The sequence below is a fragment of the Homo sapiens genome, chromosome 3 (assembly GCF_000001405.40).
Source record: "Homo sapiens chromosome 3, GRCh38.p14 Primary Assembly".
NCBI classification, from domain to species: Eukaryota; Metazoa; Chordata; class Mammalia; order Primates; family Hominidae; genus Homo; species Homo sapiens.
Window position 1 is genome coordinate 69757391 of NC_000003.12, and position 14012 is coordinate 69771402.

The window sequence follows — 14012 nt, forward strand, 5'->3', positions numbered from 1 at the left end:
CTCTTTCTGTGATTGAAACAAAAAGACAAACACACTGAAGAAACTGACATAGAAGTAGGTGCTTTAGAGTGAGTGGTTATGTGTTCAGAGAAGCTGTAAGCACAGGAGAGAAGACAGTTGGGGAGGTTTGGTCAGAAGTGGAATGGTGGGATGAGCTTCCGAACTCTGCATTTTAGTGAGAGTACAGGATAAATCTGCTGTGTAGGCTGGTGTTGAGAGTTAGGACACCCTGAACTTGGGGAAGAGCCAGCTATCAGAGATGAAAAAAAACAGTTTGGGACATTTTCAGAATAGATATATTTCTTGAGTATCTAAATGGGTGGACGGTAAGAGATCCGACTTTTACTCTTGTTTTCCAGGAGTTATGGTTTGAGAATTATGTGTAGGATCTTCGGGCAAATTTTCATTGCCTTGTAGTATAAAAGGATTCTTAATAAATATTTGTTGAGCTGAGGATAATGGGGAGCAGGAAGGGTCAAACTTGAACCAGTGTTGCCTGTGGAAAATGGGTAGCTGTTGAGTGATGGTGTGGATCCCAGATCAGACCCTCAAAGGCCAGGGGAGGTCTTTCTGGGAGAGGAAAAGAACCTGGAGTTACCCTAGGGCATGTGTGTGTGTGTGTGTGTGTGTGTGTGTGTGTGTGTGTGTGTGTCTATATATATAATACTCTCTTCCACCACTCATAAAGTATATATATAAATATATATATATATAAATATATCATATGCACACACACACACACACACACACACTTTCCCAGCACTCAGAAATATATTTCATTTTATTTACTTTTTTTTAAGACAGGGTCTCACTCCATCTCCCAGATTAGAGTGCGGGGATGCAATCATAGCTTCCTATAGCCTCAAACTCCTGGGCTCAAGCAATTCCCCTGCCTCAGCCTCTCAGGTAGCTGGGACTACAGGTGTACACCACCATGCCTGGCTAATTAAATTTTTTTTTTCTAAGGTTGGGATCTTGCTTTGTTGCCCATGCTGGTCTTGAATTCTTGGCCTCAAGCAATCCTCCTGCCTCAGAGTCCCAAAGCACTGTGATTACAGATGTGAGCCTCTGTGCCCAGCCTGGAAATATATTTTAACTGGTGTTCACTGAAGATGGCCTTTAGCTATCACTTTTTTAAAAGGCTTTATTTTTAAAATAATGTATCTTTTAATAAATCAAAAGCTTCTTATGTATCAATAGCCCAATCCGGTAATACTTATTTTATTATTGGTTAGTTCCCATGGGAACAGGGAATTTGTTAGTTCACTGGACATCTCAAGGTTCCAGGATACAGAGTGTGTCCAATAATGTTTGTTGAATAAAGAATGACCTAGATGGCTGAAGTGTTTCTGGTGTGCTAGAAGGGGTCAGTAAATTTTGGAAACTTTGCTAAACCCTTTCAGGAAAATGTGTAAGAAATTATCTTACCTTTTCTTTTGTTAGCTATGAGCCCTTGCCATGTGTTTCTGAGCCTTAATATCTTTACCTATAAAATGGAGCTAATGGCATGTCCTTCTTGGGATAACTGTGAGGATTATAGAAGATAATATGTAAAATGACTGGCATATGTACATTCTCAATACAAAGTTAGTAGGGGTGATGATTGTTACTGCTATTGGTGCTAAAGATACAGACTGCTAAAAATACAGTCAATTCTCATTATTTTTGTTTTATAAAGCTGCTACAAATACCGAATTAGCAAATACTGAATGATTACTACTAGGGAAATACAGGATAAGTTCCTTAGAGCCTCTGGTCGCAACATTTAATCAATCTATCAATACATAACTTTGTTTTATGTGTGTTTCTGTGTAAAGACACATTATTTAATATATATTGTTGATTCATTAACGTTGAACTTGTGGCCAGCAGCACTATAACCTGACTGACTTAGGAACACTAGACAGCACTTTCGCACTAAACTTTGGTGCCATACTGAATAGAGGAGTCACCAACAAAAACACACAAAAGTGCAAAAAATGTGGCACTACATAGACTGTGAAAAGGACACTTTTTTACAATATGATGTGAGAGCTGAAATGAGAAGGCAGACCAATACCTTATTTAACCTCAATTGGTAACGTGCATGTTGGGGGACTCAAACTTCTTGCTGTTCTGTGCACGTGATTGACTGTAAAAACTCTGAGAATGTTGATTTTGGGTTTACAAATCAGTTTTAGTGAGTAGGTGAATTTGAAAGTGGAGAATCCATGAATAATGAGGGTTGACTATATTAAAAACTGTTTTCTTGCATCTGTATTTCTCTAGCAGTTCTTCCTCTGGACTAAAAAGCTTACCCACTGGGGAAAACATTTTAAAACACTATCTGCTCAGATGTTGTGGATTACAGAGGGAGCCACATTAATAAAGCTTTTCCAGGTACCTGATCGCTCTCTTTTTTTTTTGAGACAAAGTCTCGCTCTGTCGTCCAGGCTGGAGTGCAGTGGCACGATCTCGGCTCACTGCAAGCTCCACCTCCTGGGTTCGTGCCATTCTCCTGCCTCAGCCTCCCAAGTAGCTGGGACTACAGGCACCCGCCACCACACCTGGCTAATTTTTTTGTATTTTTAGTAGAGACGGGGTTTCACCGTGTTAGCCAGGGTGGTCTCGATCTCCTGACCTCGTGATCCACCCGCCTTGGCATCACAAAGTGCTGGGATTACAGGCGTGAGCCACTGCGCCCAGCCCTGATCTCTCATTTTTATCAGTTTGTTTGCCAATAAAAATGGCCCATCACTTCCAGATCTTTAAAGTTGACTGAGGCTTCACTGTTCAGATATGGTAGAATTTTGACAGATTTTTAATCATTCTTTAATAAGGTGGAGTGTGAGGTTGGGGACCCAGGAAAAGACCACAGAGAGATTATGGACCATTGCTGAAAAATCCAGCAAAAAGCAGTAGGATTGACAGAGGGCAGGTGAGCCCCCAGATTGGGGCCTAGCCTGGGAGGGTTCTTGGCATTGCTCAGGAAAGAGTTCAAGAACGAGCTGGTGGTGGAAGAATGCAGGTCTAGTGAAGCAACAGTGTACAACAGAGTACCTGCTCCTTGCAGAGCAGGGCTAACCCATAGACATGCACCCAGAGTAGCAGCGTATGGACTGTAGACTGGCAGTATTTATACCCACTTGGAATTACATGCAAATCAAGGTACAGGTTACTCAGAAATCTCTAGAAAAAGGGTGGTAACTTTTGGGAGTTGCCATGGCATTTGTAAAGTGTCATGGCACTGCTGGGAGTGTCTTATACTGATGAGCAGTGAGGGCACCTAGAGGTTGCCTTTGGTGCCATTTGCTAGTTCTGGTGGGTTTCTTCATTTCTTCCTGTGGAGACCAGGAAATAAGCGCTGGTAGTCTCTACTTCAGGATGGCTTAGAAATTCTGGTGTAGGCAGTTTTTGAGGTAACCAGGCTCAGCTTACTCAGGGCCTAGAGGATAAAGGTGATGATTTTGACTTTTGCAAGCATTGGAAATTAGCATATTATAGTTATCAGAATGGTCATTATTGTAAACATTAACTGAGTACTTGTTGGGATTGCTTGGAATTCTTTTAGAAAGAAGGAGAAAAAGAATTGGTTTCAGTAGGTTCTGTACTTTCAAGTTACATAGCAGATAGATCACACAATTTAGTGACAACAGAGCACAAAGAACAATAATAATAACAGTAGCATCTAGCATTTTTAAAGCCCTCTTTACAGATATGCCTTGTGTTAGTGCTTTAGCCTATCTTTTATATATTTCTATAGTATTCTTACAGATTATACTGGAGTTAAGGAAGGTACCTATGTAATTAAAAAAAATTCTTTCTGTGTTAGAAAAGTGAAGAAACAGAAACATCAGGAATTAATAATTTACATCTAGGTGAATTATAAACATAGTAAGGCACTTACTATCTACCAGGTACAGTATTTAAGTGTTTTATATAATATAATTCTAATATGAGGTAGATAGGATCCCATTTTATAAATGAAGAAACTTGTGCTTGTCTGTTTTCTGTCACTTGTCTATCTTAAGTTACTCAAATAAGGTTGAACCGCGATTCAAACTGAGGACTGTCTGACTTCAAAGCTCACTCTCTTATTCACCATGCTGGCAGTGGTTTCCATGTATTTTGGTGTTCGGAGGTTTGGAGGGAGAGGCAGGAGTGATCAGGAGTGACAACTTATGTTGATTTTTGAATGGAAAGGAGACTAGGTTTCTTATGAAGTAAAGGCAGAAGACTCAGGGTGTGGTTGCACATTCAAATCCAAAACAAATAGTTATATCTATTAAAGGTGCTCACAGCATGCCTGTCTGCATAGTCCTTTGTTTCTAAAGCTGCTTCTGAAGGAGGAAAGGAGGTAGGCTGTGAATCCTCCAAGAAAGGTAGGAAAAGATGGGATGGTGGATACTTAATCATTCACAAGGGTGTGGTATATAAGTAAGTGGTAGATTTTCCTAATTTCTTATTAATAATCTTCAAATGTTGCTACTTGATGACATCAAGTTGTCTTGTCTACATACCCATCCTTGTGTTCTACTACTGAACATGAACATGTAGCTCATAACATCTGGATGTTTTTCACTCATCTCTTTTTCCCTCTCTCTTTTTTCTGCTAACCTGACTTGTTGATTGCTATTTTTGTGTGTCTTCATAAATTTATAGCCAGTCTGTTCCATTCTGGACTGTTTATCTTTGGCATGCCAGAGGTCTTTAAACATCATAATGTTGTGTAATGAGCATAACTTCTGCCTTGACTTGTGGGTGTTAAGAGCATTAGTCAGTGCAAAGTATTGAGTTAAATATTTTCAATAAAAGGATATAATGATCTAGCAGAGAAGAAGTTATAAAAAATCCTAGTTAATGGCTTTAATGGTGAGCCATATATTTAGTGGGTTCTATCAGTGATGAGTTAGAGATTCACAGAATGAATGTAAAAGCATTCTTACTTTTAATTAATGAGAGAGGAGAAAGAAAAACAATAATAAGAAAAAAAGGACTTGATTCTCATCCATACCAAGAAAAGTGTAAACATCCAAGTTCCCAGTGATTCTAACCCTGATTCATTACCTTGCATGTGTCTTTAACTACCACAAGAAATGTTTAAGATTTCCATTGAGATATTATCGACAGGGACTCCTGGGCTGCATCATAAGCCTGATTGAAAGCCTTTAGCCTTGTAATGATCTCTTTTTGGAGGACAATCAGGGAATTCTTTGCACCTTTATCAGAGAGTCAGGGCTTTCCTGAGCAAACAAACTAGGTCTTTACCTATGGAGCTGATTTTATGAAGAGTTTTGGTCAGCATTAGTCATTGTGAAACCATGGGCCTCCTGCCCTGGTTTATCTCGACAGTCATCTCCCTACAGCAGAAGATTGAATCCTCATCTCTCCATGAGTCTGAGCATCTAAAGATGTTAGAGGTACATTGGTTTGATTCTTGCTGGGGAATGTGTAGTGGGTACTGGTCTTCTGGGAATAGTGTCTAGATGAATGTTTAATAATCAGTTTAATAGGTTGATGGGCTGTCTTATTTCCTGGGGTTGGAGGTTTAAACCAGGACACCCTGTGCTAACTCTGCTCTTTACCTTGCCAGCAATCCTCAGTCGTCCTGGTAAACAACCTCTGAGTTAAATACCTTTTCTTTTCTGGAGAGGTTACCAACAAAGGAAAAGGCTTTGATGTCAGAACAGGGGGCATAAACAGTGTTTATGGCTGCTGTTAAAAATTTCTCATCTGGGTATTTTCAAAAGAATTCCAAGTCAAAATATATCACTTATGGGAAGTATCTTCTTTTCCAATATGATATCTTATGAAGTTGATAATTATTTTCATGGTTTAAGTAGTAATTGATGACATTTTGGGGGTTGGAAGATTTGTGGGAAGGAGGACATAGATTTTCATCAGATGTCCTTGCGTCCTTTCCTTGCGAGGATTATTGATCTCTAGTCTTCATATGTAAGGTGTTGAATTTATTTAATGTTATTAACTGAATCTATAGATAAAGAGGTAGTTTTGGAGCCAAGTAACCTGTTGATGTAAAGTCTATTTTACCTTTTATGATTACCATCTAGCACCTCCCTCCTTCCTGGCTGAATTCCCTGTCATTTTAAGTAGGCAGCAATTACTGGTTTGCTAAAGAAGCCAGCTCCTGCTGCCAAGGATCCTGTTAATTATCACTCTATCTCTAATTTAGCCTTCCTAGTGTTGAGAGAAGGTGCACGTAAGCGTGTGGCAGAACGTCTGCAATCGCATCTTTGTAATAATCTCCTTTCTGAGACGGTTCAGTGGACTCAATGTTCCGCCAAAGGGCCAAGGCAGCCCTGGTGAGTGTTTTCAGCTCTCTTCTGTAGCTTGTTTGGTCAGTCGAGTTTGGTGTGATTGTCCTCTCCTTTTGCTTCTGACCTAAGTAAAAGCTAATGGTTGGCATTAATCTTGGGAATTCAGACCTATTCCGCTCCATCTCTGAAGTCAAATGGGACACCTTGAAAATACTTCAGTGGTTTTCCCACGAGCTATTTTCTCTCTCTGTGAAAAGGAAACCAGGAAATTGACTCTGTGCCTGTTTTCAAGAAGGTAATACAGATGATAACCAAAGTACCTCAGTTTACAGGTTCTTATATAGCATGTTTTTTAAGGGATGTCAATCTTTATATCGTATGAAATCTTTGGTTCTTGTTCATAAATGGCTAGATTGCTTTCTGTTTGTTTTCGGAAATGTTCAGTTCACTTGTTTCAGTGAACATTTTTTCAGAAGTTCCACTGGATCATTTGATTAGGTTTGGAGTGCTTATGCTTCCTTTTCCACTTTTTATGTTATTTTTGGCAGTGTTGGTATTTGAAGCTGTAGAAGTGATTCACTGCAAAGTGCATTAATTTTCCACATTTCCAAATGCATTTTCCAGTGGTCCCCAAATTTCTTTTCCTCTTCTCAGATGATTCTGCAGTTGTCCTTCTGTCATTCTGCTGGCTCAAACATAAATGCTGATGTCACTGAATTTCTTAAATTACAGCTGGTGGGGATTAACAGAAATTGTAAAAGAATACCACTTCCTCATTTTGCTATTTTCTTGACTAATTATTGTCTTTTCAAGTACTGTAGGAACATAGGGATTTGAAAATGAATTCTTTGTCTTGCAGTTTAAACAGCAATTTTCCTTTTCCTTTTTCTGTTATACTTCAAAAATAATGTAGCGCTTAGGATGCTTTTCTGATGTGCCCTTTAATAACCCCAGACAGAGGAGTCTCACTCCTGATTTTGCACTTTGGACTGTCTTCTACCCTGGGTGAAGGGTTTTGAATACTTCCCTTAAGTAAGTTTCCTTATATAGAATATTTTTACTCAACAGTTTTTCTCCGACTCAAGGCCGTTACTGGTATTATGTGAAAGGTTGTGATTAATTTATTTGTTTGTTCAGAGCCTTTGCTCCTTTAAGGAATGCTTAGCTCTGTCCTCATCATTTTCTTGTTTAGGATCTGTGTTATTTGTGACAATTTTGATTGCTCCAGCCCTCTACACATTAATTTTTCTGGCTTGCCTCTCCTTGTTTTAACAGTGGGAGTCTGGGCCTCAGGCTTTCTTATCACTTGGTTTGTGGTTTGAGTGATGGTTCCATGAACCTTTTCCTGGGAGTTCTCTGGGCTCCTGTGCTGGACGCTGGAAGCCATCTGGAAGTGTGCACACAGGATGGCTGGGTGCTGCTGGGTGGTATTGATTGAACTGCAGTCCCGTGGAAACAGAAATAGAAAGGGTTCAGCATTCCCACTTTCCTCTGGTGGCATTTTTGCTTATTTTGTGTATTTAGAAAAGGTAGCCATATGCAAACTGCTGACTTACTATTTTCCCTGGAATGGAAACCATTTGGATTATTTCAATGAGTTTTAGCGAAGATTTGTTTGTTCACAGTATTAGTTTTGTTTTCTGGTAGCCTGTTTAGAATAAGACCAGAATGTGTCTTTTTACTTTATGGAAATGAGTGCTTACTTGGTGTTTGGAATTTTGCAAACCAACATGAATTTGAAAAGTCATATGTTTATTCCAGAGTCAAAATAGAAACTCTTTAGTGAAAATTATAGATATTTCCATCTTGGATCATTTACTTTCTGTGAAAAATTTTTTTTTGACAAAATTGTTTAAGATTTCAGAGGAACCTCTTTTCCTGGTTAATTTTCCCACAAATTAATTTCCCTCATTTTTAAAAAGAAAAATAAGATTAAACTGAAGAATTGCAGACCAAGCTCATATGTGCTGGAATATTTGCTGTAAGCTGGTGACTGATTCTTTGCTGTTATCTTTCATAAGAGAGTGGATTTAGTTTAACTGTTAGTAGTTAAGGTTTGGATTAGGAATACAAATATGATTCCCTTACCATAAGACCTTTTAAGCACTGATTTGCATTGCTGAGGATAAGTTATGATTATTCAGTCTCGGGAAAATTTGTATTATAAGATCCATATACACTTAGCCAACATTGCCTTCTAACATTGCAATGATAAGTTCTTTTAATTGAGATTTTGGAATGGTATAGCTATCTGGAAAATATTTCAAATGTCATTGTGGAGCTTTTGGTTAAATGTGAGTTTTAAAAGTTTGATAAATAGAATAAAGAGCGGAAAGGAAAAATAGTTATGAATTTGTTGAATTGTTTGGGCTATGAGTTATCTTTTTAAAAAGAGGTTTTATGTTTGTGTAGAAAATGCCACTAAATATAAGAAAATGGAAGTTTAATAGTTGAACAAGGTAAGAATTGCAGATATCATGAGATTGTAATTTAACTGGAGTATGCATTAAATGAATTGTATATTTCACTAGCTTGGTGACCATGAATGGTTTTGTTTGTCATTTTATCTTTCTTTTCTTTTCTTTCTTTTTTTTTTGAGATGGAGTCTCTTTCACCCAGCAGCACGATCTCAGCTCACTGCAACCTCTGCCTCCTGGGTTCAAGTGATTCTCCTGCCTCAGTCTCCTGAGTAGCTGGGATTACAGGTGTGCACCACCATGCCCAGCTAATTTTTTTTTTTTTTTTTTTTTTTTTTTTTTAGTAGAGATGGGGTTTCACCATGTTGGCCAGGCTGGTCTTGAACTCCTGACCTCTAGTGATCTGCCTACTTCGGCCTCCCAAAGTGTTGGGATTACAGGCGTGAGCCACCGCACCTAGCCTCTTTATCATTTTGTCTTATCCCAGTAAATACCATCATGCTGGACCTTGTATTAAAAAAATGTTGAATCAATGAATGAGTGAATGCACGTTTTGGGAGGCCTGGTTGCAGACCTATCTGTGCTGCTACCTACTCATATGACCCTGTGGGTCTGTCTCCCGCTATATACAATGAAGGCTAAAGATGGGATCAGGGATAAGTATGTGGGATTGTGTTGCTCCCTCCTTCTGCTGCAGTACGGTAGATATTGCCAACTGTCACTTCACTCTTTCCTGTGAACCCAGGAGGAGCCTTGGGCCTTTCTGAATTTAGTGCATCAGGCTCCCATGACTCACCGTAGATACAAGAGTTAAAACTTACTGTACCTTCTCCTTTTGGATTTGGTCCCTGAAGCCCAATTACAAATAGGCAATATTCTATGATGTTTCTTGGTCAGCAGATGTTCATTTAAACAATAGAGACAACAGCATGCACCATTATCCCTCCATTCAATAATTTTTCTGGTAGATTTAGCAGATATATTAATAGATAGAACTTAATGAATGGGTCTAGACAGTATTCTTCCAGTGGAGTAAGATATGAAGATATAATTAGATTAGCAGAGTTTTTCACTTTTACTCTCCAAAGCACATGTCTCCATCTGGGGCACAGTTATGGAGCACCTCCTGTATGCCAGCACTATGCTACTGATAAATGGCCAGCCTGTAATTCATGGGCTCTGCCTTCTTGTAACTCAAAGTGACATAAGTATGATGCTAGGTCTGTAATTATTCCTTTAAAGACAAAAGATGGAGGGGCATGTAATCCTGGCACTTTGGGAGACTGAGGTGGGTGGGTCACTTGAGGTCAGGAGTTCGAGACCAGCCTGACCAACATGATAAAACTGCATCTCTACTAAAAATACAAAAAATTAGCTAGGTGTGGTGGTGTGCACCTGTAATCCCAGCTACTTGGGAGGCTGAGGCAGGAGAGTTGCTGGAACCCGGGAGGTGGAGGTTGCAGTCAGCCGAGATTGCGCCACTGCACTCCAGCCTGGGCAACAGAGCAAGACTCCATCTCAAACAAAACAAAACAAAACAACAAAAAAACAAAAATAAAAAATGATTGTCAAACAGATGAGAGGAAAGCATTCCAGGTAGACCGAGGCATGGAGGTGCAGCATAGTGTGGCACTGAGACAGTCTAAGCACGGAGTGTGGCTGGAGCACCAGGGAGTGCGGCCAGCTTCATACAGAGGAATAGTGCTCTGGCTGCCAAATGAAGAATGGGTTGGAGGGTGGCCAGGGCTGGTGTCACAGAGGCCAGTTAGGATGGTTCCAGCTGAACTGTCTTTGTGAGGAACGATGATACACATGCATCGTTCAGCCCTGAAGATAGGTTGTGATTGCAAGAGGGTAAAAACCTTGTTAAAGATTTCAAGGACAGTGAGGACAAAAGTAAGGCTATATGTAAACTGCTTACTGCTGACAATAAAGTGACTGCTTGTTCATTTCTTTATCATGTAGGTGGATGCCTGTTCTGTACCAAGCACCTGGAAAATACAATCATGTGTAAAGTAGACATGGTCTCTGCCCACAATCAAGCAAAAAGAAAATGATTGATTACTAAGTAGTCTTTATAAGGTGCATGAGCAAAATTCTTAGGGTCCATGCTCTCCACAGATTCCCCTCCTTTCCTGAAGTTAATTTATAGTCTGACAACATGTTCTCTGCTTTCTATAGGAAATTTTGGAGGATAAAGTTAGATAAGAAGATAAACCTCAAGGTCTGTGCCTTATATGGAGCATGCTTGCATGTACACACACAGACACATGCTCACATACACACCTTCCTCCCCTAATAAAAGACACCTGTCTTCACTCCATAGATTGACAAGCATCTAGAATAAGGCATATGAGGATTCCCATAAGTAAATCTGCTCCAAGAAAAGTTCTAGATATCTTCTCATATTTTCTGAACATGATATTTTACATGGAAGAATCCGGGCTGTTGAGTTCCTGATCCAAGAAGAAAAGTCTTCCATACATAATTTGGCTTTGGTGGCTGCTTCAGATTAGCCATTCTATCTGTGTTCCAGGTTATTACCGGTGTTTGGAATTCATGTGCAGAAGCAAGAATTTGCCTTGAGGCAGCAAGACTGGTAGACACTAGATAAGTGGCTTATTTTAAAGTGATGTTTTGGTACAGAAATGGCAGTAACAACAAATTCCTCCCCCTAATAGAAATCTTCCTCACATTCCCTATCCAACCCAGAATCATTTATAATAATGTGGAGTCAAAATTCAGCTGAATGGGTTTGATACAAATTCCTAGGAAGCCATTGTAAGTTCAAGCACTGTGTTTTAAAGATGAAGCATTCAAATTTATTAGGATGGTAATTGCAGCTGATGTAGGTGGGGAGGGCATGTGTCCCATTTTGCATGATTTGGAGAGGCAATAGCTTGTTGAGACTAAAACTCTGGAGTAGGACTGTTCTAGGTTTGAATCTCAGCTGCACTGATTGGTGGCTGTGTGAGTTTGGGCAAATCACTAAGATTCTCTCTTCACCTGTAAAATGAAGTAGTGGGTAAGCATGTAAGTCCTTTGTTAAATTTGCCAAGGTTTGAGTCTTTGTTGTACTACTGTATGACATTGAGCAACTTGTTCTCTTTATATCTTGGATTTCTTATCTGTAAAATAATAATAACAGTAATAATAACAATAATGATGATGATAATAATAATTATGGTCCCTACCTCATAAGGATGTGGCAAGAATTAAATGAGATTATGCACACATAGGGTTTTCATCTTGGTAGTCTGGCACCTAGTTAGCACTCATATCTTACTCAACTATTTTTCCTGCCATCATTATATTGAGCTTTCTAAAAATTATTATTTTTTGACTACTTATTTTGTTCTTTCTGAAAGTTAGGGCTTCACAAAGTGTAGTCGTTGCTATGTGATTTCTTTTTTTTTCCTTTTTGATACGGGGCCTTGCTGTGATGCCCAGGCTGGAGTACAGTGGCTATTCACAGGTGCAATCCTAGTACTAACCAGCACGGGAGTTTTGACCTGTTCCATTTCTAACCTGGGCTGGTTTACCCTTCTTTATGCACCTTGGTGGTCCCCTAGGAGGTCACCATATTGATGCCGAACTCATTGCACTCACCAGATCAGCAAAGTGCACTACAGCCCGGAACTCCTGGGCTCAACTGATCCTCCTGCCTCAGACTCCTGAATAGCTGGGACCACAGGCATGTGCCAGTGCCTTTTCTTTCTTTAAACTGGAGACTCAATAATGCAATTTCTGAATTTGGGGCAGAGTTGCCAGATAAAATCCAGAATGTCCAGTTAAATTTGGATTTCTGATACAGAATAATTGTTTACTATAACTTTGTTCTAGATATTTCATGGGATAGCGAGACTAAAAAATATTCTTTATTCATCTGAAATTCAATTCAACTGGGCATTCTGTATTTGCTAAATCTAGCAATGCTAGTTTGGTAGTAAAACATACTCCTTTGCCCTCTCATTCATTTTTTCACTCAGATAGATATTTGTGTATGCTTATAAAAATGCAGTGAACAACATCCTTGGGGCATAAGTATAGAAATAGTTTCATAAATTTGAAAAAAGATTTCTTAGTATCTCTGGTAAATCTACCTCCTAATTCCTTCTCCCTGTGTAAGCCATGGGACCATCAAATTGAGATTATGTTGATACTTGAGTATATAGTATGATGTTGCTTGAAAATTCTGAAATGTTCTAGTGTTGCTTTTACCTAAAGGGAATGATTAATGGTGACACATTAATGGGTATGCATTCCAGAGAATCCTGAAAGCTTTGTCATTTTTGAAGGAAATTACCTCATTACTTTTAGAGTCACCTATCCAGGGTAGGTTGGTCCCTGTGGTTGACCTGGTTTTCCAAGTAGGAAAATAAACACTTCAATGGTTAGGTTAATAACTTGGAGTGATTTTGTTGTACTTACAATTCAAGTTAATTTTTAAGTAGGATTGGTCTTTAAGCTACTAGACTAGTTGGAGACTCTGAGAGAATTGCATTCTAAGAGTGAGATCCTTTCAATTCAATCAGCATTTACTGTGTATTGACTGTGCAAAAGCAACTGCATATGAAGAGAGAGGAATTTAAAGTGTTTTGAGTTCCTGCTCTCAAAAACCTTAGTGTTTAATGGAGCACGAAAGCAAGAAGCAATTATGACAAAAGGCAAGATAAATAAGGTCAAAATTGAAGTCTAGTAAAGCTAGGTCCCAGGATGGTTGAATGTAGGAAGTGGTTAAATCTGGAGGCCAAGTAGAGTAGGAATGGCTTTTATTAGGACAGGTTTCTTTGAAGGTAATATGTGAGAGAACTATTCAAAGATAAGAATGATTTCATTTGGGAAATGAAATGTTCTAGGTGTGGGCTTAGCATTAACAAGTATCCGAAGGTGGCCACATTTTGAAATGCACGTGTTACTTAGACATGACAAAAATATATACAGCACCACCGTAACTGACAGCAACCGCTTCTCTCATGTGTGACTGTTTATGATCTAGAATTTCCAGATCAGAAACTTGATTTTATGTAGGTGGACCTGGATTCATTCCATGTTGGTTTCCTAAGTATTTATTGTGCACCTGCTGTTGCTATGTATGAGACAGCCAGAGAGACTTGGGCAACATTTAGGAATTCTTTTAGGTGGTCACTTAAACCAACTGAAAGTTACTCCGTTTAAACATGGGTTTTTTTTTTTTTCCTGAAATGAACACTTCCAGTGAGCTCTGATTTAAATTGGGCAAAATCAACAGCAAAAGAATTCCATGAGAAGCATCTTGTCAGGCGCTCTGACTTTGAGTATTTGCTTAAATGACTTTACAAGCCAGCTTAACTCATTT

General features: G+C 39.1%; 1 protein-coding gene and 1 pseudogene across 8 annotated transcripts in view, besides 1 other annotated feature; one reads left to right on the plus strand and one right to left on the minus strand.

Moving 5' to 3' along the window:
* The window catches only part of MITF (melanocyte inducing transcription factor), a 228869-nt gene that overhangs the window by 17927 nt on the left and 196930 nt on the right, over nucleotides 1-14012 (plus strand). The window contains exon 1 of one of the 8 annotated variants that reach the window (NM_001184967.2): nucleotides 6114-6302. The exons of 6 other annotated variants lie outside the window; for them this stretch is intronic. Coding sequence is in view for 1 of the 2 variants with exons in the window: in NM_006722.3 (NP_006713.1) it covers nucleotides 6452-6552 (101 nt within the window). In the remaining variant the exon portion in view is untranslated. Of the gene's footprint in view, nucleotides 1-6113; nucleotides 6303-6420; nucleotides 6553-14012 lie in introns of those variants that run through there. One more of the 8 variants, NM_006722.3, reaches the window with a different exon arrangement.
* Nucleotides 12027-13226: an enhancer, noted in NCBI's record as "P300/CBP strongly-dependent group 1 enhancer chr3:69818568-69819767 (GRCh37/hg19 assembly coordinates)". NCBI's record gives its function as "activates an origin of replication core promoter dependent on BRD2, BRD4, P300/CBP, MED14 and CDK7 cofactors, with strong dependence on P300/CBP, by STARR-seq in HCT116 cells {active_cell/tissue: HCT116}" and the evidence as "EXISTENCE:reporter gene assay evidence [ECO:0000049][PMID:35650434]".
* Nucleotides 12097-12383, minus strand: RN7SL418P (RNA, 7SL, cytoplasmic 418, pseudogene; annotated as a pseudogene).